The 22,178-nt window shown below is 58.2% G+C and overlaps 7 annotated features.

Annotated features, from left to right (window-relative positions):
• Nucleotides 2,902-3,568: an enhancer, noted in NCBI's record as "H3K4me1 hESC enhancer chr17:78415272-78415938 (GRCh37/hg19 assembly coordinates)". NCBI's record gives its function as "activates a minimal SCP1, AML or CMV promoter by ChIP-STARR-seq in primed H9 embryonic stem cells {active_cell/tissue: H9 hESC(primed)}" and the evidence as "EXISTENCE:reporter gene assay evidence [ECO:0000049][PMID:30033119]".
• Nucleotides 7,061-7,843: an enhancer, noted in NCBI's record as "H3K27ac-H3K4me1 hESC enhancer chr17:78419431-78420213 (GRCh37/hg19 assembly coordinates)". NCBI's record gives its function as "activates a minimal SCP1, AML or CMV promoter by ChIP-STARR-seq in naive and primed H9 embryonic stem cells {active_cell/tissue: H9 hESC(naive and primed)}" and the evidence as "EXISTENCE:reporter gene assay evidence [ECO:0000049][PMID:30033119]".
• Nucleotides 15,847-16,676: an enhancer, noted in NCBI's record as "H3K27ac-H3K4me1 hESC enhancer chr17:78428217-78429046 (GRCh37/hg19 assembly coordinates)". NCBI's record gives its function as "activates a minimal SCP1, AML or CMV promoter by ChIP-STARR-seq in naive H9 embryonic stem cells {active_cell/tissue: H9 hESC(naive)}" and the evidence as "EXISTENCE:reporter gene assay evidence [ECO:0000049][PMID:30033119]".
• Nucleotides 15,884-16,093: a silencer, noted in NCBI's record as "silent region_9108". NCBI's record gives its function as "represses an Ori minimal core promoter by ATAC-STARR-seq in GM12878 lymphoblastoid cells {active_cell/tissue: GM12878}" and the evidence as "EXISTENCE:reporter gene assay evidence [ECO:0000049][PMID:35858748]".
• Nucleotides 16,354-16,613: a silencer, noted in NCBI's record as "silent region_9109". NCBI's record gives its function as "represses an Ori minimal core promoter by ATAC-STARR-seq in GM12878 lymphoblastoid cells {active_cell/tissue: GM12878}" and the evidence as "EXISTENCE:reporter gene assay evidence [ECO:0000049][PMID:35858748]".
• Nucleotides 18,379-18,673: a silencer, noted in NCBI's record as "tiled region #4093; HepG2 Repressive non-DNase unmatched - State 20:ReprD". NCBI's record gives its function as "represses a minimal TATA promoter and a strong SV40 promoter by Sharpr-MPRA in HepG2 cells {active_cell/tissue: HepG2}" and the evidence as "EXISTENCE:reporter gene assay evidence [ECO:0000049][PMID:27701403]".
• Nucleotides 19,159-19,248: an enhancer, noted in NCBI's record as "active region_12936". NCBI's record gives its function as "activates an Ori minimal core promoter by ATAC-STARR-seq in GM12878 lymphoblastoid cells {active_cell/tissue: GM12878}" and the evidence as "EXISTENCE:reporter gene assay evidence [ECO:0000049][PMID:35858748]".

Consider the following 22,178-nt stretch of genomic DNA (forward strand, 5'->3'; position numbering starts at 1 on the left):
CAGAGCTAAGAATATTCTTGAACCACTTAATAATTCAAGTCAGATCCAAATAGATTTTCCTGCTCACTTGCGGGCCTCTGTGTCCCTTTCCCAGGCCCCCACCCTGCCTGGAGGCTGGGAGGGAAAGACTCCAAGAAGCAGGTGGGCCTGGCCTTTGGAGCCTCTGAGACCCCAGCTGTCCTGCGTCCCCTCTCCTGTGGCACTCAGGATCAGAAGACACACCAGGGCTGGAGTGGTCCTTTAGGATCTGGCCAAGGTCAGGCCCCAGGGAGGGGCCCCTCTGGTGGTCCTAGCTGTCCCAAGCCCCACCCCTGCTCTGGCCACAGGCATTGGACTATTTGAATCTGGGTCTGAGCTGGGCCTTGGCCCCTTGCACAGCATCTGACCTGAGCCACGCACCTCTCATGGGGGCCCCGTCCTCCAGGGCCAAGGGCAGCATGAGCTCCAGGAGAGCCAGCCTCGCCCCTCACACCCTGGTAGCTGGTACACGCCCACCCCAGGGCCTGTGTCCTGCCTCCTCTGCGGAAGAGTCCCTGAAGGGCCTGGCCTGGGGCTCCTTGTCCTGGTGGAAGTGGCTGTGCACAGGCAACCAGGGCCCTGGGTTCCAGACCAAGGCCTCTGTACTTGTGTGCTGTGTGTGCTTGGGTAAGCCACCTCGCCTCTCTGAGCCTCTTATCAGTGGGACCGATGCTTTTAGAATAAGCTGTGGTGTTTGGGGCAGGAAGGGGTATCTGACGGGTGCCCTGAGGCCTGAGTCACCCTCTCCTCCAGGGGCAGTGCCCAAGCTGCAGACACCCCTCACCCATCCCTGTCTCCCCCCAGGCTCTGGTCTTTCAAACAGGAACTCAGGGTGAAGGGGTGCCACCTGGGAATGTTTGGGGGAGCCCACACTTGCTGGCGGGGAAGTGCTCACCAGCCTGGCCCCCCAACCCCGGCAGCAGCCCAGCCTTAGCAGTCCCTGCTGAACTTCCCTGGCCAGGCCCCGAGTGGAGTTTTACCAAATTATTAATTAAGGGCAAAGCCATGCTGCAGCGCTGACATCCAGATGAATAGCACGCAGTGTAATTAGGCGAGGTGTCATGGAGATGATGGAGTACAGCCTGCTAGCCCCAATTCACCTCCCCGGCAAGCAGGAGCAACTTCTCTGTGTCCTACCACCATGGGCGGCTGGTGTGGGGCCAGTAGGGGTGTGGCTAAAGGGGCCAGCTGACAGCTATTGCGGGTGCCACGGGCCCTGTGGACAGGGCTGGGCTCCTCCCCCAGGGACAGGCACCCCTTCCCCTCTGATTGCCATGGGCAGAACCCAAAAGGGAGTAAAGTGCAGAAAGGGGCAGGCAAGGTGGGAGGCAGGCTAAGGCAGGAGGGATGAGGACCAGGACAAATCCACAGATAGACCCGGAGCAGCCCAGAGAGGGGCATGGAGGGAGCACAGGAGGGCCGAGAGGGGCCGGGGAGGAGGTGCAGAATCCAGGAAGACAGGACAGGCCTCGGGGCCCTACCCTGGGGTTGCCTGGGCCTGACAGAGAGCTGGGAGCGGGGAGCAGCTTGAGAATTTTTGGTTTTGTTTTTTAGTTACTTACATTCATGTATTTTTGGTTGTTTGAGACGGAGTCTCGCTCTATCGCTGAGGTTGGAGTGCAATGGAGCAATCTTGGCTCACTGCAACGTCTGTCTCCCGGGTTCGAGCAATTCTCCTGCCTCAGCCTCCTGAGTAGCTGGGATTACAGGCGCCCGCCACCACACCCAGCCAATTTTTGTATTTTTAGTAGAGACGGGGTTTCACCATGTTGGCCAGGCTGGTCTCGAACTCCTGACCTCAATGATCCACCCGCCTCAGCCTCCCAAAGTGCTGGGATTACAGACATAAGCCACCGCTCCCTGCCTACATTTCATGTATGCTTTTAATCAACATCATAAATTGACAGTTTTAATAATCGAATAGTACTACAAGGCTTCTGACGAAAAACCACACCTCTTTCCTGATTCCCCCTTCTCAGAGGCAACCTTTTCTGTGATTGTAGCTGATTCTCTTTGGTATTTACTTCCGAATAGCCATGCTCATGTTGCTGCTGGTGCTGCTTTTTTTTTTCTCCTTTTCAGATTGAGAAATTTACCCATGTCCTTCCCACGATGGCGGCTGAAAGCTTGTTCTCTCACACGTGCCCCCCCACACTCTCCCACCAGCTTCTCCTTTTGATTGAATCAGAATTCAATGTATGCACTATTATTTCTCAGCACACACTCTTCCCAGCTGAGTAATGTATTGTAATTACATTTCCTTTCTTGTACAACCACTTATTTTTCCTGGACTTAATAATTGCCTCATTTAGGGGATTGGGTTGATATTCTGTGTACCCATTACTTATTTATCCCCAAACCCTGCCATGGAAGTATAAATCTCCTTTTGGTTCATTAAAAACATCCGGCCCATCTGGGCACAGTGGCTCACGCCTGTAATCCCAACAGTTTGGGAGGCCGAGGCGGGAGAATTGCTTGAGCCCAGTAGTTCGAGACCAACTTGACAACATAGCGAAACCCCATCTCCATCACTATTTAGTTTTAAATAAAAGATATTTTTAAAATTAAAAACATCCAGGCCAGGCTGCGCTGGGCCCGCCTCACTGTAGGGGGCTGCGCTGGGCCCGCCTCACTGTCGGGGGCTGCGCTGGGCCTGCCTCACTGCACGGGAAGTGTGCTGCCGCTGTCCTTGGTGCTGAAGTCAAGGCTGGGGCCGGAGCCTCTCCTCCAGCCTCACTCCTCTTCAGCTTCCGCCCTGCTTCGCCTCCATTCCTGCCCAAGACCCCCTGGGGAGCAGACCCCAGGCCCTCCTCAAGACTGCCGACCCCAGCCCTCGTCCCAGCCCAGGCCATCTCTCCCAGGCCTTGCCTTTCTGTACCAGGTGGTCTTCCTCCCCAGGGGGCTCCTCCCCGCAGCCCTGGCAGACAGCTTGAATCCTGGAGTTGCAGCAGGTGGGTGTCTGAGTGGAGCTCCCTTGTGTATAATCAGAACTCTCCAGGTTACATGTGACAAAAACCAACTTAAGCAAAGCTGGGACCTCGTTAGTTCACTCCAGGAGGCAGCGCCGCCCTGCATGGCCTGGCCTTGGCTCCCTCCCTCTCCGGGAGGCTGCTCCCTCATCAGCCCAGCCTCACTTCCTCACCCACATAACAATCCTTGGCAGAGTGAGCCCTGCTGTTCCAGCGGCCCCAGTGGCCCCAGCGAAGGCCCCACGCCGACACTTGTTGGCTGGCCAGGCTTGAGTCACATGCCTTCCCCTGAACCCCTCACTGTGGCCTGGGGTCGGGGGGCCAAGTGCCCAGTGCAGAGCTAGGGCCTGGAGCAGCCTCAGTGCACCTTGTGGAGAGGGGGACTTCTCAGTAGAACAGCACTCTTGCCAGGAGAAGGAACACCTGGTTGAGAAAACCGAGGTCAGGTGACCTTCTCAAGAAGGGTCAGTGGCTTCAGGATCTCTCATAAAGCTTCATCTCCAAGGCCCAAGGAGAGCAACAGTGTCCCATCTTGTCTCCAGGTAATTCTATTCCGGTGCCAGCAGAGAACAGCGTGATTAAGCCTCCATTATTAACTTGCCAATCTTGTTTCTGGGGCACAGACGCTAACGGCTTAGGGGACCCAGTTGGCATATAATGAGGTCTCCATGACAAATTACTTGGTTATCAATTAACTATCTGGGGAAATGTCAAGCAGGATCCATCATGCTGGCAGGAAGAGAGAGCCAATTAACCCAGGGCAGTTCATCCAACCCACCGTCGCTGCGTCCAGCAGGGCCAGGAATGAGAGAAAGGGCCTGTGGAGCCCAGAGCAGGGCAGTTCCTCCACCCCCCCAGGGACGGTGTGACACCGGCTGCGGCTACACTGGTGGCAGCTTCTGCAGTCATGCCTCGCGTGCTCGGCGCACCACTCTTGCCTGTACCTGTCTCTGTCCATTCATTCATTCATTCCACAGTCACCTGCATGTCAGACCTGGACCAGGCACGGATGGGAGAGGTGACTGAGGGCTGAGGTTAGGGAGGGACACACGTGCAGACTGCAGACAGGTGTCCCTGTCTTGTGTGGTCTCTGCAGTCAGCAAGATGGGTAACAGCATCCTCAGGACAGGGAGGAAAGAAGAGTTCATTCTAAAGGTGGTGGGGGGACAGAGAGAGCATCATAGCTGGGAGGAGAGAAGAGTTCATTTTAAGGGGGTGGGCGGGGGACAGCATCACAGAGCTGGGAGAAGAGTTCATTCTAAGGGGGTAACGGGGGGACAAAGCATCACAGAGCTGGGAGGAGGAGAGAAGAGTTTGTTCTAAAAGTGGGGGGCACAGAACATCATAGAGCTGGGAGGAGAGAAGAATTCATTTTAAGGCGGTAAGGAGGGGACAGCATCACAGAGCTGGGAGAAGAGTTCATTTTAAGAGAGGGTGACAGAGTGTCTCAGAGCCAGGAGGAGGAGAGAAGAGTTCATTCTAAGGTGGGGGACAGAGCATCACAGAGCTGGGAGAAGAGTTCATTCTAAGGGGCGGGGGACAGAGAGACACAGAGAGACTCTGTGACAGCATCACAGAGCTGGGAGGAGGAGAGAAGAGTTCATTCTAAGTGGGGGTTGGGGGGTGGGGGCAGGACAGAGTGCATCACGGAGCTGGGAGGTGGAGGAGGAGAAGCCAGGTCCCTGAGACAAGGGGCAGGGTGGGTGGCCACCAGGCAGAGGGTGCCCAGGCACAGCAGGGGACGGGGCTGCTCCAGGCTTGGGCAAGGGACCATTGACTGTGCACTGTCCGGACCTGAGCAGAATCTGGCTCTGCCGTCGCTGTGCTGGGAGACCTTGAAACAGTTTAGTAAAACCTCGCCGGGCCTCTGTTTTCTTATCTATAAAATGGGGATAATAACCCCCAGTTCTGGGAGTGTTGTGGGAACTAACACTGTGGCCCCCACTTGGTGCTGGCTGAACCTGGTTCCTCCTTCTCCTCCCTACAAGAGAGGCCTTGGACCCACCTCACTGGTGAAGGCTCCCAGGGTGCACATGCCGGAGCAGAGGCGCAGGGAGGAGGGAGGCATCCTGGAGGAGGTGGCTTGGGCTGTCCTGGAGGAGGGAGGTGGCTTGGGCTGACGGCCGGCACACGGACGGGCCCGAGGCCGAGTGGCAGGGTCGGGGACTTTGGTCACTTATCAAAGTCAAAGCCCAGGACTTTTTGGGTTTTGCTTTGTTTTCAGCAAAGGCCCTTGGGTCACCTGCGATGTGTCCCACCCTTGTGAGAACCAGTGACGAAGCCCTGGCCCTACCCTGTCCCCTGGCCTTTGCCTGTGCCCCCACCCCGCCCCTCTGGTAGCCCCCTCCCCTTGCCTACTTGGGGGTGATTGGCAGCTGCCTCTTCCCAGCCCCCCAGGCCATGGCACGGAGCCTCAAGCCTATTCATGATGCGGACATATGGCACCTCCACGGGGGGCTTGGAGGAAACTGCCAATTGCGAGAGTGCAGCGTGTCCCCATTCCAGCCCTGCCGGAGCAAAACAAACGCAAGTCGCGAGGGGAGCAGAGGCGGCCCGGGGGCGTGCGCATGTGTGCGGGTGTGCCTGTGTGTCTGCAGCTCACACCGCGGGGGTGCCGGGAGGAGGGGGGCTGCCCGATCCTTGGGAGTCTGCGGCTTTCAGACGCTCCTGGGGGCTCGGCTACTGGGGTCCTAAGGAGGCGAGCTGGCCCCCTCATTCCGCCCCGCAGGCCGTGCCTCTCCTGTCTTGAGGCCGCTTTTGCCTCCCCACACCTCTTACCCAGGACGCTGGGCTGGAGGCTGTGAACAGCCCTGGGAGCAGATCCCAGAGATGCTCTCATTCTTTCCGGAATCAGGACGTTCCCCCCAGTGTCAAGCCCAAGTCCCCAGGGCTCCAGGCTTAGCCAAACTCTTCTGTTTTATTGGAGGTGGCACCACCCCCATATCAGTGGGGGCACTGCAGCCACCAGTGCATGGCCCCCTAGGCCCCTGCCCCATGCTGGGCTCACCCTCCTGTGCCCAGCTGGGGACCCAGGCATGACAAAGCCCTGCTCCTGCGGCAGGGGAGGGCGTGGGGGGGTGGGGGGGCGTGGGGAGGGAGTGGGGAGGGCTGCAGGGGAGGGCGTGGGGAGGGCGTGGGGAGAGGCTGGCCAAAGGCCAGGCTCTGGGGGTCTCAGCACACTCCTCTCCCGACCCAGGGCTGGAGGCTGCTGCCATGGAAACCAGGCCTGTCCACCCACTGGCCATGTGCATCCAGGGGCCATGGCCACCACCTCCTAGCACCCAGCTCTGCCCCCCACCCCCATTCGGGGGAGTGAGAAGTCAGGAGAGAGAGGAAGGGCGCTAAGCAGAACCTGGAGGGTGGGCCTGGGGTACCAGAGGCTGAGGTGCTCAGGCAGGCTAAGGGTAAGGGGCCTGTCCCCTGAGCCCCAGCTGAGGGTCTAACCCTCTGTGCTGCTGGGAAGCTCCAGACCCTCTGCCACAAACCTTGGCATGCACTTCGGGCAGTGGCAGCCCCTGTGGGGTGTGTCCGTGGCACCCATCAGCCTCCTCCTTGTGGCTGGGGCCTAGGAGCAGAATCTGCACGCTTTGGGCCTTCCCCAGGGAGTCAGGGAGGCGAGGGTGCAGCCCGCTAGAGAGTGGCCCATCCATCAGTTCCCTCCCAGGAGCGCTGGCTGGGGATGCTGGTGGGGAGGGGCTGCAGGGGCGGCTCTGACTCCAGCTCTGCCGACACCCTGTCCCCAGCACTGGCAGGCACCTGGGTGTCCTAATCTGTCTATAGCCTGGCCTTGGACGAGGGGCCTCTGCCCCAGCTGGGTGGGTGTTTCAGGGCCCAGGCCCCCACCTTGGCTGGCAGCGTGCACACCCGCCACAGGCACTGGGCCGACCAAGTTGCAGGCACCACTGTGCATCCAAGCATCTGCTGCCGCCGTCTCGGGGCAGATGGGCTGCCAGTGAGCTAAGTGTGTGCGGGGGAAGGGGTGCCATAGGAACCCCTCCCCGCCGGGAGCGCGGGGGCGGGAGAGGCAGGCACCCGCCGGTGGGGGAGCCGGGAGCCATCAGAGGGAGGGGGGCTGGGATCACATGGGCTCCAGGGTTGGGGAGAGGCCCATGCAGCCCGTTCCTGGGCCAGGGGCTCAGGGGATCTGGGCTCAGCCTCGGAGGATGCAGAGCCTTAGAGGTCCTGATCAGGGCTGGGAGACCTGTCACCCCTGGCCAGGTGGCCCTGGGCAAGTCCCTTCCTTCTGCAGGCCTCGGGCCCCAGGAGTGTGTGTGGATGGTCTAGAGGGTGCCTTCCCGCTCCGGAGCCCTGTGCCTTGGCAGGATGAAGGCGTCCTCCGCACACAGATGCCTGCCATCTGCAGGGGCCTCCTGCCAGGGGACACCAGCACACCCTGCCAGACTGATCCGGGGCACGTGGGCTACACCTCCGCCCCTTGCTCCAAGGCTGTGGCTCCCAGAAAGGCTGGGGCCATGCTGTGTGTTAAGTGAGGCCACTTCGGAGTTTGCCAGCTTTCCCCAGTCCCTGCCTGGCCACAGCAGGAGCCCCACGGTGAGGGGACCTGCCAGGCTGGGCAGGATGCTGGCCAGGGTAGAAGATCCTGCCCTGCCCCTGCTGCCCCCCAAGCCCATCACACTGTATCCAAGACCCCTCAGGAGTACTGGGATCCGAGGAAGGAGGGAGTGTGGGAGAGTTGGCAAGGAGACAGCCCAAGGCCACCAACAGCCTTGGAAGCCGATTTGTTGGGGCATCAGGAGGGCCTTGAGCAGAGAAGACGACCCCACGGACAAACCCTGCAGCATCCCTGCTCCAGGAGAGGGGTGCCCACCCGGCCTCAGGGGGCTTTTCTTTCATGATGGCAGTAAACAGAGCAAAGTTGTCTGTGCTCAGTCCCTGTCCTGTGCCAGAGGCTGCTCTGAGAACTCAGCTCTTCTGTAATTGGCACAAGAATGCTAAGAGCCACCCTTATGCCCACTAGACAGAAAAGGAGACTGAGGCTGAGCAAGCTGGGGCAGCTGGCCCCGGCCAGGGGCCAACGAATGGCTGAGCTGGAATTTGAGCCTGAAGTCTGCTTGACCCCTTGGGCTTTCTGACCAGAGCACCCCACTGGAAGGGCACGTGTCCTCCAGGAGAGGCTGCCTGGTGCCTCCAAAAGTGCAGGGAAATGGGGCAGGTGGCCCCTCTGTGCCCCCTCCCCCACCAAGCCTAAGGGGGCCCCCATCGCCACCATGGCTCTCTCGGATTCAACAGATGCCTCCGCCTGGCTGTGACTCAGCCTCTTAGTTTGTTGGTGGTTGCCTTTTTTTTTTTCTTTTTCTTTTCCAAAGTATGACATCGCCACTGAGCCTTGGCAGAGTGGCTCCCAGGACACTGGCAGGTCCCTCCCAGGCCTTGCTCAGGAGTGCCCATGGGTGGCCCCAGCTTGCAGGGGCCAAGGTGGCTGATGACCAGATGCCATGACAGGCACCCCAAAAGGGCCTCGCCCTTGGACTGTGGCCCTGGGCAGACTCTGTTACCTTCAAAGTAGGCACAGCCCATCCCTTAGTTGCACCTGACTGGGGCACAGTGCCGGGGACACCTGTCCAAAGTCACCCTCCCCAGCTGCCTCACAGCCCAAGGACATCTGTCCAAAGTCACCCTCCCCAGCTGCCTCACAGCCCAAGGACATCTGTCCAAAGTCACCCTCCCCAGCTGCCTCACAACCCAAGGACACGGCGCGTACTTGACGTTGCAGATTGGGCCAGAAACCCTCCTGGGGGGAGGGGCCCAGAGCCCTACTTTTCACGGGTGGGCTAAGAAACAGAGGATGTGTCTTGGAGAAGACTTGCAGGCCAGGAGCACTGCCCATTGCCAAGGCCAGTGGGCTGAGTTCCACGGAGAGAAAAAGGCTTTCCCTCCATGAAGGAAGCTTTCTTGGCATTTGGGACTATTGGTAGAGCCCACAGTTTTTTTTGTTTTTTTGGTTGGTTTGTTTTGTTTTATTTTTATTATTTTTTTTTTTTTTGAGATGGGGTCTCACTCTGTCACCCAGGGTGGAGTGCAGTGGTGCAATTTCGCCTCGTGGCAGCCTCGACCTCCTGGACTCAAGCAATCCTCCTGCCTCAGCCTCCCAAGTAGCTGTAACTACAGGTGTGTGCCAGCACACCCAGCTAGTGTGTGTGTGTATACACACACACACATATATAGTAGAGACAGCATCTTGAGATGTTGCTCAGGCTGGTCTCAAACTCCTGGCCTCAAACAGTCCTCCCACCTTGGCCTCCCAAAGTGTTGGGATTACAGGCATGAGCCACCGTGCCTGGCCTTAGCCTGTGTTTTGTGAGGTGGTGAGTTCCCTGTCCCCAGAAGGATTTCAGCAGGGATAGCATTCCTCACGGGACTGAGTCCCTGTGGTGCAATCAGAGAAAAGAGTCACTCACAGCTGGAGTTGGTCATTTCAGGTTCAAGTCCAGGCGTGTCTGTGTGAACTCAGGAGCAGGGTATTAAACCTCTCTCCTCATCTCTGAAATGGGATTTGGGTCTCCCTCAAAGGCAGTTCTGAGGTCACCCTCAAAGGCAGTTCTGAGGTCTCCCTCAAAGGCGAGACTGTGTGCAGAATGTGTGCAGACATTTTCATGCCCCAGTCTGACTCATGGCCCTGTGCATCTTGACAGGTCTCTGTCTCTGGGAGCCTCATCAGAAGAAATGGCTTAAACTCCACAGGGCGGGATTTGGGGAGGAGAAAGAGCTTTGGGCTATGGGGAGTCAGGAGACGAGGGGATGGCGGGGCTTACTGTCCTTTCAGTGACCCGAGAAAGAGGCTGGCTTGGGTGAGAGGAATGGGGCAGCTTCTCTTGCCTCTGGGACTCAGGAGAACCCAGGGCTCTGAGGCTTGGAGGGGGTCTGGAAGCTGTTGGGGGGCAGGTGGGGCGCTCATGGCATGTAGAACTGGGACATGCCAGGCAACAGTGAGGAGGCCAAGGGTGGTGGGAAACACCATCTGGCAGTGGCAAGCAGGTCTGGGCGTAAGAGGACAGACAATCCCACGTCCAGGACGACAGTCCCAAGGCAGTTGGCTCCTCCTGCCCCAGCGGTCCCAGCCGACACCCACGTCCTTCCCTCTTCTCCTCCTCCCTCCCCGGCTGCCCGTCCTGTGCCCATTTATCATGCCCATGGTAGTGCCCCGAATGGTGGTCCCAGGTGTCCACCCACAACCTCAGAATGTGACCTTTTTTGGAATTAGTCTTTGCAGATGGAATAAAGTTAAAGATTTCGAGATAAAATCATCCTGCATGAAGGGTTAACCTGAAATCCAATGACAGGTGTCCTCGAAAGAGAAAGGCAGAGGGAGATTTGAGACCCAGACACCCACAGGGGAAGGTAGAGGTGGGACAGTGGGAGAGATGCATCCACAGGCCAAGGAGTGCCGAGGTCCCCAGCACCCACGGAAGCTGGGAAAGCGGCCTGGGACAGGGTCCCCGCAGAGGACCAGAAGGATTTTGGAATTCTGGTCTCCAAACCTGTTAGAGAATAAATGTCGGTTGATTTCAGCCATCAAGTTGATGCTCATTTGTTAATGGCAGCCCCCAGAGAGGGAGACAGCCTCCCTTCCCGTCTCTCCAGCCCAGCAGACTGCTGGGTATTGGGGTTGGAAAAGTCTTTCAAGGGCTCAGGGAGTGCTGGGGTGGCCACCACCTTCTGAGCACCATCCTGTGCCTGGGCCTGCCTCCCTTGCAGCCCGAGCCCAGGCATAGGAGCCAGCTCCACTCGCACCTGCCAGCCTCAGCCTCAGCCTCAGAGGTGAGCAATGCCAGGAAGCCGATGCCTCCAGAATCCCTTGACCAACGGGGACGGCAGCGGGGCCCTGGCTTTCAGAACAGCAGGTGCGGGCTGCTGGGTCCATGCCCGGTGGGGGAGGCTGCACGGTTGGGCCCTTGTTCTTGGCTGTGTGGCCGCCGAGGCTCTCCGGAAGGTTCTATGAGCCTCCTAATATCTTGTATTGGGTTCCATTAAGCTGGCCAGAGTGGGTTCTGCCGGTTCCAAGTGGTGTGTGGGATGGGGAAGTGCTCTCAGCTCTGTCCCTGGGACAGGTGGGGGGTGGGCGCGTCACATGCCAGAGATCTGGGGTGAAGGCCTGAAGACCCTTCCCCTCCTGCTGGAGGAGAGCCGACCTCCCCCACAGGGCCTCGTGGGAGTACAGGCGGCCAGCAGGCCCGTGGGAGATCAGGAGGGAGATGTGTTCATAGCCGGCACTCGAGGCACCTGGGTTCGGGACACACCTGGGCTCGGGTCACAGAAGCCCCCCATTCCCCAGGTTGAAGAGGCCTGGGCTTTCCCTGGGCCTGGCTCTCGCTCTCCTCCCCCAACGCTGCTCTGGTCCCCGGCGGCCTCCTCAGGGCCCAAGTCCTCCCTCCCCCTGTCCTCCTTCTCTCCACTACCCCCTTCTTAGAAATGAAGTCATCTAGAAAAATAATCAAAAAATAGAAAGGAAAAAAACACCTTAGAAAATGGGATTTTTTTTCCCCTTCAAACATTTGGTGAGACACCTCCCACACGGATGAGTGGCCACGGGGCCTGTTTTGGTGTGAGAGAGACTTGGGCCTGTACCCTTGGAGTTGTGAGAGGCAGGGGGGCCTCCCAGTCCCACAGTGGGGGTCTACACTAGGCCTCCCCTCTGCAGCCTGGCCAAGGTTGGCCCCAGAAGCCTGAGGTCCCCGCCGATGCCCTGAGCAGGAAGGCCGCTGAGTCCCCGAGGCCAGGGTGCAAGGCAGGGTGGGAGGGCTGGCGGGGGCCAGGCCAGGGGCTGCTTAGCACCTAAGTGAGGCCCTGCCTCCGGTCTCTCCCCTCTTCCCACCCGGCCCACGCCGCTGCAGGGCTCTGGTTTGTTTATTTATAATTCATCCTCTGCCTGCTTCCAAGAAGGCTCCCGGCACTTACTGGAAAGCTGCTTCCTGAAGCTCCGTTGTGCTCCTGGCAGGCTCGGGCTCAAAGCCCGTCAACGCTTCCCCATCACTCGCAAAGGCAGACGACTCAGCCTGGCTTCCAGGGCCCTCCAGATCTGGCCCCCAAATGCAGTCTTTCCGCCACTTCCTGATGTATCTCCTGGCCCCAGAGGGACCCTCCCTTACAATGCAGATTGCTCGAGGGACCCCGGGACCCAGGATACTTCCTCCTACCTTGGGATCAGACCCTCCCTCATCCCATGGCGCCTTCTCTGGTCCCGACAGTGGGGGACGTTGACACCTCTCTTCTGCCCATTGGCTGTCTGCTGTCACAGTTACCTGGTACAGGCTGCTCCTTCTGGCCCCAGCCCGACCTCCCCGGCCCTTGGAGGAGCTTAACCAAGTCAAACTATTGTTAAGGTTGATGGTGACAATGCCAGGGAAGGTGGAGGCTCCCCTCTGCCTCCGGAGTGGCATTGAAGACGGAGGTGCCTGCAGTTGGTCCCCACGCTCGATAGGCAGGAAGCTTTGGTCAGGAGTGGGGCTGAGAGGAGCCACCCTGGTGGCTTAGTCTGGACGCCTGACTGGGGGTTCCATGAGTGTGTCCTCGGGGGCTGGGTGGCGAAGTGTGACTCCACGGGCTGGAAGGGCGGGGACACAGTGTGGTGAGAAACAGCATGCAGGGCTGCAGGCGGCAGCTCTGCAGTCAGGGCTCTGGGCTCAGGGAGCTGTCCCCTGAGCAGGGAAGCTCACACCAGAATTGGTCAGGCAACCCAGGGATCTGTGAGGGATAAGAGATGGTAGTTGTGTGAAGCCTCTAGGCTTTGGGGTGATTTGTTACACAGCCAAAGCTAACTGATACAGCCAGGAACTGCTGATGGCACAGCCGGAAGTCCCACCCACCCTTGAGAGATCAGCCCCTGCCTTGGGCAGGAAGCCCAGGAGGCTGTGGGAAGATCTCTGGCCTGCTGGAGGCCCCGGTTGCTGGTGCTAAGAGGAGGGGCAAGGAGGGACCAGGGAAGGGGACACCCTGACCACTGGAGTGCTGAGGAGCGAGTTGGGGGGTGGCCAGATTGGGGTTAGCAGCTCGAGGGGCACACCTGGGGGGCTGTTTCCAGGTGGATACTGGAGGCCAGCCAGCAGGCTCCCTTGAAGCAAGCCCTCATGCCACCTTCCCAGCCCATCTGGGACCTCACCACATCTTGCTTCTGGGAGGAGGGTCACCCTCGATCCTGGGCCTGCTGCCTCAGGCTGACTCTTCCCTGCTGTGGCTGAGTGAGCAAGCTCGGACCCTGGCCTGAGGGCCTGCTTAGTCCCCCTCTCAGATTTGCACCGGTCAGGGCCAAATAACTGGCTTAGCCAGGGGACCCTGGAAACCTCACTTCATTTCCTTCAAGCCCTAATTCCTCCATTGAAAAACAGGGCCCTGTGCGGAGGAGTAAACGCGAGAAAGCCCACGGGGCATCCATGCATATCCCCCTGGCTCAGGGCCTCAGCTTTCCCTTCTGTAAAATGATGCTATCTCTTCCGCTTCTCCCTCTGCCAGTCTGTACCTCCAACTTCTACAGAGCAGACCGGATGCCTCTGCCCGCCGGCAGGGCACGTCACAGGTAAGGGGTGGGGGCTGTGCCCCATCCTCCACCATCTGTGGGCTCCAGATCCCACTGGCCTGGTACCATCAGTCATGGCCAACTCCCAGCTTCTCCCTCCCTCAGCTTAAGCAGCCACTGCCTGGCAGAAGGGGAGCCCTGGCATGGCAGGACCCTTGGGGACTGCCCTCAGGAAGCCTCAGTGGCAAGGGCAGATGCCAGCTGGGCTGTGTCAGGGATCCTCTGCCACCTGGCAGACACACTACAGAGCGTGGCCTTTCCCTGCTGCCGACTCTCCTTGTCACTGAGTTCCGTGGGGCCACAGATGTCCTGGCCATGGGGGTCAATGCAGAACAGATGTCCATCCCTGGCCACAATGCTCTGTGCCAGAAGGACAGTGCCAGAATGGCCCCTTGCTGACACAGCCCCAGAACCCCTGACTTTGGAACTGGGTGGAAGGGAAGAGAGGAGCCAGGTGACTCCATCTCCTGAAGGAACTACCTTTGGGAGCCCAGGACCGGCCCAGAAGCATCTGGCTGTGGGGTGGCCTACAGCCTCCTCCCCACATGGCTGGCTGGCAGATGGCTGCCCTGGCCTGCCCAAGCCACATGCCCGGCAAAGAGTTCCTCTGCCAGTGCCGGGGCCCACGAGGAAGCCGGCTGTCCGGACATTTGCATGCAATTCCGGGCAGCCCCGGATGCTTGTCTGGCTTCCAGCCTGGGAAGTGGCATCGAGCCCTGGGAAGAGGACAGGCTTCACGGCCACAAAGAGCTCAACTGAAGATCTGAATCCTGCATTTAGTAGTGGTGTAACCGGGGTCAGGGGCTTTCTGAGCCTGTTTCCTCCTCTGTAAAGGAAGGCTAATGTGTAAATGTGAGCTTGACATCTAGAGCCACATCCAGCACAGAGGAGGCGATCAATGATGGCTGGCTCCTTCCCTTCGTCCATGGCTCACGCCTTACACCTGCTGCTCTAGGCAGAAATGCCCCCCTGAGAACCCCTGAGAGGACTTCCAGAGACCCCACCCTGGAAACTGATCCCACCCTCCTCCTTCTCTGTGACTTCCACACAGCCTCTTCCTCATCATTCCTTCCTACCAGACTAAGGGGCCTTGAGGGTGATACCAGGTGTTCTCCAGACAATTCAACACCTAGCAGAGTGCTGCGCGGGGCTGCCAGCATAAATCAATGACATCTTTCAGCCCAGAGGGTTCTGAGAGTGATTGCATTTGACAGCACTTCCTGAGGCGCCCCTGGCCTCCTGAGGAATGAGCTGTTCAGGGCATCTGGCAAGCAGACACCAGTCCATGCTGGCACCCTTCCTTCTGGAGAGTCACCCAAGGGAGCCACCGATCGCTGCTAGAACTGGAGCAGAGTCCTCAAACAACAGTCTGCACACAGACAAGACCCGGGATATTTCTTTGATCCAGCTCCTGCCTTACAGGACTTCATCTTCACCCATTCCTGAGGAAGGAGAGAGGAAAAAAAGACCTCTCATACACCCCCTCAGTCTAGTGTTTACTGAGCACACACTGTGATCTGGATAAGAGAGAAACTCTGCCGTCTTGGTGCTTTCAGACAATACACATCAAATTACATTATCAACGATGCTGGATGGCGCTAAGAGCCGGGGAGGGAAAGCAAGGGAGTACAGGCCACAGACCGTCCTGGACTTCGAGTTTGACTTACATTTTGGCTTTGCCATGGTACAAACGCCATACACATTCAGTATACTCCTCCGCTTACAGATGGGGTTACATCCGGATAAACCTACCGTAAATTGCCTTACAATGCTTTAACCTATGATGGGTTGATGGGGAATCTAACCCCATATGACAGGAGCATCTGTATAGGAAGGGGGCACGGTTTTCAACAGGTGGTCGCCTCACTAAGTGGGAGTCACAGGGTTTCAGGGGAGGAGCGTTCCAGGCCGCGGTAACAGCAGGTGCAAAGGCCCTGAGGCAGGACGGGGCAGGGAGGTCCAGAGTCCACCGCGCAGAGACCCGGGAGGCCGGCAGGCACGGTGAGGACCTTGACTTAAACCCAGGAAAGGGGAACCACACTGGGGCATGACCTCCTGTACTTTCCGAGATCGCTCTGGCTCCTGTGTTGAGGAGACTCAGGAGGGGAAGGTGGAAGCGGGGAGACCCAGCTGAGACGCTACTACAGTCATCTCGGCGGGAAAAGACGGCTCGGAGCAGGGTGGTGGCAGAGGTGGGAGAAGAGGTCAGGTCTGGGGAAATTTCGAAGGCACAGCCAACAGGATGTACTGCCGGGCTGGATGCGGGGTGTTAGGGGTCAGGGAGGCCGCCAAGGCTCTGCCTGAGAACTGGGGAGGGCCAGGGGCACCATTTACGGAGCTGGGGAACAGCAGGAGCTCGTTTTGTTAGCAGGTGCGAGGCGCCGGGCATTTAAAGGCGGCCTGACGGGACCGGCCGAGGCGGAAGAACGGACAGGGCCCTGCGGGACCGCGCTCGGATCCGCCTCCTCCCTGACCTCGGCGTCCCCGGCTACTGCCTCCAGAGCCGCTTCGGGGCCGACCCCGGGGACTCTTCCCGCCTGCGGCCTCGCGCCAGCCCGGCCGGCTCGCCTAGTGCCCGGCGCCCAGAAACGCGTGGAGCTGGGAGAGGCCACACAACCCACGCCGGAAGCCTAACCCCGTCGGCCCCCGCGGCCGGCACCGGCCGGAAGCCCGCGAAGCCTAACTCTCGCGAGACGCCTCCTGAGTCCCGCCTCTCCGCGGTTCCGCCAGTCGCCGCGCTCCTGTCTGCGTTGCTGTGGCAGCCCCGCCGTGCGTCCGCGTTCCCGGAGCCAGCGCGGCGGCGCGCCTGTGCTCGGGGCTTGGCCGTAGCTTTTCCTCAGGTCCCGCGCGGCGCGCCCCTGTGTCGCAGGCGCCCTGCCGCTGCCCGCAGCTTTTGGGGGGTTCGGGGGCGGGGGAAGCAGGGCCGCAGAAGGCCCAATCGGAGCCTTCTGACACCCGCCCCGGCCCGCCGCCCTCCCGGAGCTTCCGTCCCCGCCGCCTGGCTCCTTACTGACACGCGCGCCGCCCCCGGTCGCCCGTTTTCCCTGGGCTCCGGCCTCCTCTCGCTTCCAGCCCTGGCCTGAGGTCCTGAGGGCTCCCTGGAGGGGGCGGCTTCCCAGCACCCAGCGTTTAACAGGGCCCTTTCGGCCTCCCTGTCCCCCAAGCTCAGAGTTGGGGTCTGCAGCAGGGGAAAGAAGGAGGGAGACTGGGCAGCTCAAGTTCCCCAGACCGCACCTATCAGACGGAGGGCGGCCCGCTCCCGTCAGAGCCCGACCTCGGCGGACAGGGGAGGGGATGGGTTGAGAAGCGGGAGAAGGCCACTAGCTGGAAACTCCCTGACGACAGGGACACCGTTCTCGCCCCAGCCCCAGCGCTCGGCCTCCGCAGAGCCGGCCCAACGAAGGAAGAATGAAAATATGAACGTGACATGATGTGGGCTTGAGAGGCCGCCTTGTTCTTTGGATTCACCCAGAAACCTGACTGAAAGGAAAGTTACTGCAACTGGGGAAAAGCACAGTTGGCTGGAGAATTTGGTTTAAAAATAAATAAGTTTTAAATTACGTAACTAACACGTGCTTGGTGTAGAAAATTTGGAAAACATATGAAAGTACGGTATAAAAATCCTCGATCCCACTGCCACATAGAACCACTATTAACATGTCAGAATCGTTTCTTCGGGTGTTTTTTTTTCTTAATGCATTTATATTGCATATACATTTTTTCTCTAACAATATATTGATGTGCCCCAGTCCCCCACAGACCCTAATGTATGAATGGGAATGGAGGCGTCTGAAATGTGACTCACAAAGAGTTCTCTTTCCTCCCTAACACCCCATCCCTGCCTCACCCCTTCAGCGCATTCACAGCAGCACTGGGACTCCGGACTCAGACAAATGTGCACTGAGCTGGCTGGTGCTCTCATAGCCTCTGGCCCCAGAGCTCCACCTTCCCCTGCAGAGGGGGTCCCGGGAGTGTCCTCAAGTGCTCCATGCCCCATGTTCCTTTCCATGGCACCAAATTCTTCTGACCTCCTTCTAGGTGAGGGGTGAGGGGGTGAGGTAGGGGGTTGGGGAAGAGTGTCCCCATGAGGCCTGAGGGGCCTGCTAGTGCAGGGGAGGAAGGGAAGTTCAAGCAAGCAGGCTCAACGGAGGGCTCCACCCTCCAGGTACGGCCAGGTCCTGGGAGAAGGAGGGGAAGCAGTCTGGTCCAGGAGAGAGGCAGCAAGGGCAGATGCTAAGCCTTTGCCTCTGCACTCCCTGGGGACCTCTGGGGACCCCCCCCCCCACCCAGCACTAGTAATCAAAGGAGGACAGACACCTACACACGTGTCCCATATGTCTCACCCTAGCAGGCAGCGAGAGGATGCCCAGTGTTACTCTGGCCCCCTGGAAGGCTAGCTTGCTCTCCTGGGCACAAGTCAGAAGCAGTGTGAACTGGAGTGGGTGGTGGGGGACACCCCTCCCGGTGAGCCCCCCCTCCGACCCGGCTGTCAGTGATCCACAAGTCTGGCCCATCAGCCCTCCCTGCTGAGCACACAGTCCACTGACCCTTCTTCAGAATTGTGGGAATGACCTCACTGCCCCTCCAAGCAACGTGTTGTGCTGCCGCCCACATCAGACATCCGGGGAATGGACTGCACAGCCTCCATGTGTGCTGGCTCCTTGGCGCCTGCAGAGCCGGGTTGATTCTGTCTTTCCCTTCAACTCTTGTCTTAAAGGATATCCTGAGCGTGCCGGCTCCTCTGCTCAGAGGGTGTTAGGGTGGCGGTGGCAGTGGGCACCTCTCTGCTCCTCGGCTGGGTGCTCAGCCTCGCCAGGCTGCCTGGAGCTGGTGGAGCAACAGCCTTGTCCCCCGTCCAGCTCTCTGCAGCTGCCCTCTCCTGTCAGAAGCTCCTGGAAAGCATTTCTGGCACATAGAGGCCATCTGCATGTTCTCCTCCTGCCCGCCCCACCCCGAGTAGCCACAGAGGATCTTCCCCAGCTGCCTTCACCTCCGCCCCCAGACAGAGCCTCCTGGCTACTCCCCCAGATAGTGTCTCCAAAATCACTTCCATTTCTCCTCTGCTCGCAGCCACTCAGTGGCTTTCGTTATCATTCAGAATAAAACCAAAGCGTCCATTACCATCCAACCAAAGACCCCAGGAACGCGCTGCAGTGGAATCAAGCCACGTCTGTTGACTGGTTGCTGTGAGAGGATGTTAGGAAGGACCCGCAAGTCTCCTCGTGTTGGGAGAGCATGGTGGGAGGAGGAGTTGGGAGAGGCTCAAGGCAGCAGGGCTGACTCCACAGCTGGGTATCTTGATAACTTTTATCTAGAAGGCAGGAAGAACAAAATGCAGCTGAAGCTGAAATTGATCAAGCAGCAGCGGTCATTCAAATTAGCCAGGACGGGGTGGTTTGGTGACCCTTGAGGTCTGGCCGATGCTCATGTTCTGCCTATGCTCTGACACGATCCTGTGTATCTTGCCCCATCTCGGGCACACAGTGGTCTTGTCTGGTGTTGGTGTTCAGTGACATTGCTTAGCCATGAAATTGTCTCCAGGTTAGTGACTAGTGACGCCAGGGTGGGTGGCTCTTCTCTTTTTCAAGACCTGGGTGTCACCTGACCCCCAGCTGCCTCTGACTCACCTGCCACTGCCCTTCTTATCCACACTCTTCCTGACAAGCTGGTTTCCTGTGTGGCCGAACAGTTTCCTCCTTCGGGCCCTTCGTGGTCACCGGGCCCCTGCCTGGAGCCTCCGCCTCAGGAACCCATGTGGCTGACTCCGGCCCTGTGGCCTTGCCACTCTCTCTCCATCCCCACGCTGTCCCCTTGGTGGTTCTTACTGCCACCTTCCTTTCCACCTGCTGAAACCCTAGGGTCTTCTGGTCCCTCTGCCCATCTAAGACCGAATTCCCACAACAGGGAGAGTCTGGGTGACACGCTGGTGCGTTTATTCCTGGGGCAGTGTGGTTCCCACATGGATCCTCAGATGTTCTTTGGTGTTGGTGACCCCACTGTGGACCGTTGGTTCTGCTCCAAGACCAAAGCTGGCTGCTGGTGGGTGCAGAATGCGCATGTGGCTTGGACCAGACAGCCTCTAGGCCTCCCCTTTCTACCGCCAGGTGCCGAAGGGCCAGCAGCCTGGACACCCCGGAGCCCTGGAGAGCTCTGACCCCAGCCTCTGCCCCACCTGAAGTGGGTCTGGCCCCTTCTTGCAACAGGATCAGCCCCCAGCTGGAGACAGAGACCCCACAGCCAGCCCAGACAGCCGCCTAGTACTCCCCAGTCCCCCAGCCTAAGGACGCTCCACTGTCCTGGGCTGCCAAAACAAATATCACCAACTAGGCACCTCAAAACTCATCCTCTGGCAGTTCTAGAAGGCAGAAGTCCACAGTCAAGCGGTCAGCAGAGCTGGTTCCCTCTGGAGGCTTGGAGGGAGAGTCCGTTTCACGCACCCCATTTTGCTTCTGGTGGCTGCTGGCAATCCTTGGTGTCCCTTGGTTCAGAGACATCGCTGCAACTTCTGCCTCTGTCGTCCCGCGGCCTCCTTCCCAAGTGTGCAGCTGTGTCCTCTCCTCTTCTTACCAGGGCCCCAGTCACTGGACTTAGGGCCCAACCCAATCCAGCCTGACCTCATCTTAACTTGATTACAGTTGCAAAGACCCTATTTCCAAATAAAGCCCTAGTCACAGGTTCTGGGTGGGCATGGATTTGGGGTGACATATTCCACCCAACGCAGCTCCCACCCCCATGTGGTGGAAGCCCAGGGTCAGGGAGGATCCCCGTTCCCCTGCTGGCTCCCAGTGCGCTTCCAACTTCCAAGGGGGGCTCAGTGGGTGGTCTGAGCTGGACACAACCTAGCTCCTTCATTCCTGTGAAGCATCGTTCTCACGGGCCGTCTGGGCAGCAGGCATTTACTGATGTTTGGAGTAATGGGGACAGCACTTTACAGGTGACAACCTGGGGCACCTCTTGGCAGCTGGGTGCCTCCCTGTGACCTCAGCTGTGACCTCAGCAGTGACCTCAGCTGTGTCTCTCTGCCCTTCTTGACCCCATCACCTCTTTTCTTCCCCTAACTCCTGGTTCCATGGGCTCTCACCTCCTCTCTCCCAGGATGTCTGAGAAAACCACAGTCCCTCTCACTTTTTGTCCAAGCAGTCCAGCGCTCTCTGCCCTTCACCTTCTCCTCCGGCCTGGACCCCTGAAGGCAAGGGAGAGGGTAGAGATCACCTCTCAGATCCAGAAGATCCAAAAACACCCCTGGGGTGTAGGAGTCATGCTGATTCCCTCGGCTGTGAAGCAGTGCGTTCTTATCGCAAAGAGCACTTCTGTTTTTTTCTTCTTTCTACATCTGTGCTAACATTCTGTGATTCTTAGAGAACGAAAATTCTGAAGAGCAAAGCCCAGAGCCAAGAATGTTCAAGCCAGAAGGGATTTCTATGAGGAACAAAACAGACAAGGCCTCTGCCTGCAGGGTGCATATCCCGAGTGGAGAGATGGGGCTGTACAGACCCAGAGAGCGTGGCTCGCCCTGGAAGGGAAGGTCAGGTGCGACGGGACAGAATGGCCAGGAGGACTAGTTTATACTAGGGGGTGAGGGTCAGGGATGAGCAGGATTTAGTGAAGCAAATGATTTCAAACATCAAAAGCACAGGAAATAAAAGGAATATAGATCAGACCTCATCCCAATGAAAGCCTTCTGTGCATTAAGGACACTATCAATAAAGTGAAAAGACAACCCATAGGGTGGGAGAAAATACTTGCAAATTATCTACCAGATCAGGGATTAATATCCAGACTATATAAAGGGCTTCTACAAATTCACTAACTACAAACCTGATCCAAAAGGCCAAGGATGTGAACAGACATTTCTCATGAGGAGACACACAAATGGCCAATGAGCACATGAAAAATTCTCACCATCACTCACCACCAGGAAAATGCACATCAAGACCACAATGAAAGGCCGGGCGCGGTGGCTCACGCCTGTAATCCCAGCACCCTGGGAGGCCGAGGTGGGTGGATCACCTGAGGTCAGGAGTTTGAGACCAGCCTGGCCAACATGGTGAAACCCCGTCTGTACTAAAAATACAAAAATTAGCCAGGTGTCGTGGCAGGTGCCTGTAATCGCAGCTAATCGGGAGGCTGAGGCAGGAGAATCGCTTGAACCCAGGAGGCGGAGGTTGCAGTGAGCTGGGATCACACCACTGCACTCCAGCCTGGGTGACAGAGTGAGACTCCATCCCAAAAACAAACAAACAAACAAAAAAACACACCACAATGAAGTACCAGTTCACACCCATTAGGACGACTACTGTCTAAAAACCAGAGAATCACAAGTGTTGGTAAGGATACGGAGAAATCGGACTCCTGTGCACTGCTGGTGGGAATGGCAAACAGTGCAGCTGCCGTGGAAAACAGTTTGGCAGCTCCTCAAAAAGCTAAACATAGAATTTTCATATGACCCAGCAATTCCACTTCAGAGTATATACTCAAAAGCAAGGACACCAACAGACATTGGTACACATGTTCTTAGTAGCATTATTCACAACAGCAAAAGCTGGGCATGACCCGTGTGTCCCTCAACAGAGGAATGGACAGACACCACGTGGTTTGTATACACAGAGGAATCTTATTCTGCTGTGGGAAGGAATGAAACACTGGCGCTCACTGCAGCA

The sequence above is a fragment of the Homo sapiens genome, chromosome 17, assembly GCF_000001405.40.
Source record: "Homo sapiens chromosome 17, GRCh38.p14 Primary Assembly".
Lineage (NCBI taxonomy): Eukaryota > Metazoa > Chordata > Mammalia > Primates > Hominidae > Homo > Homo sapiens.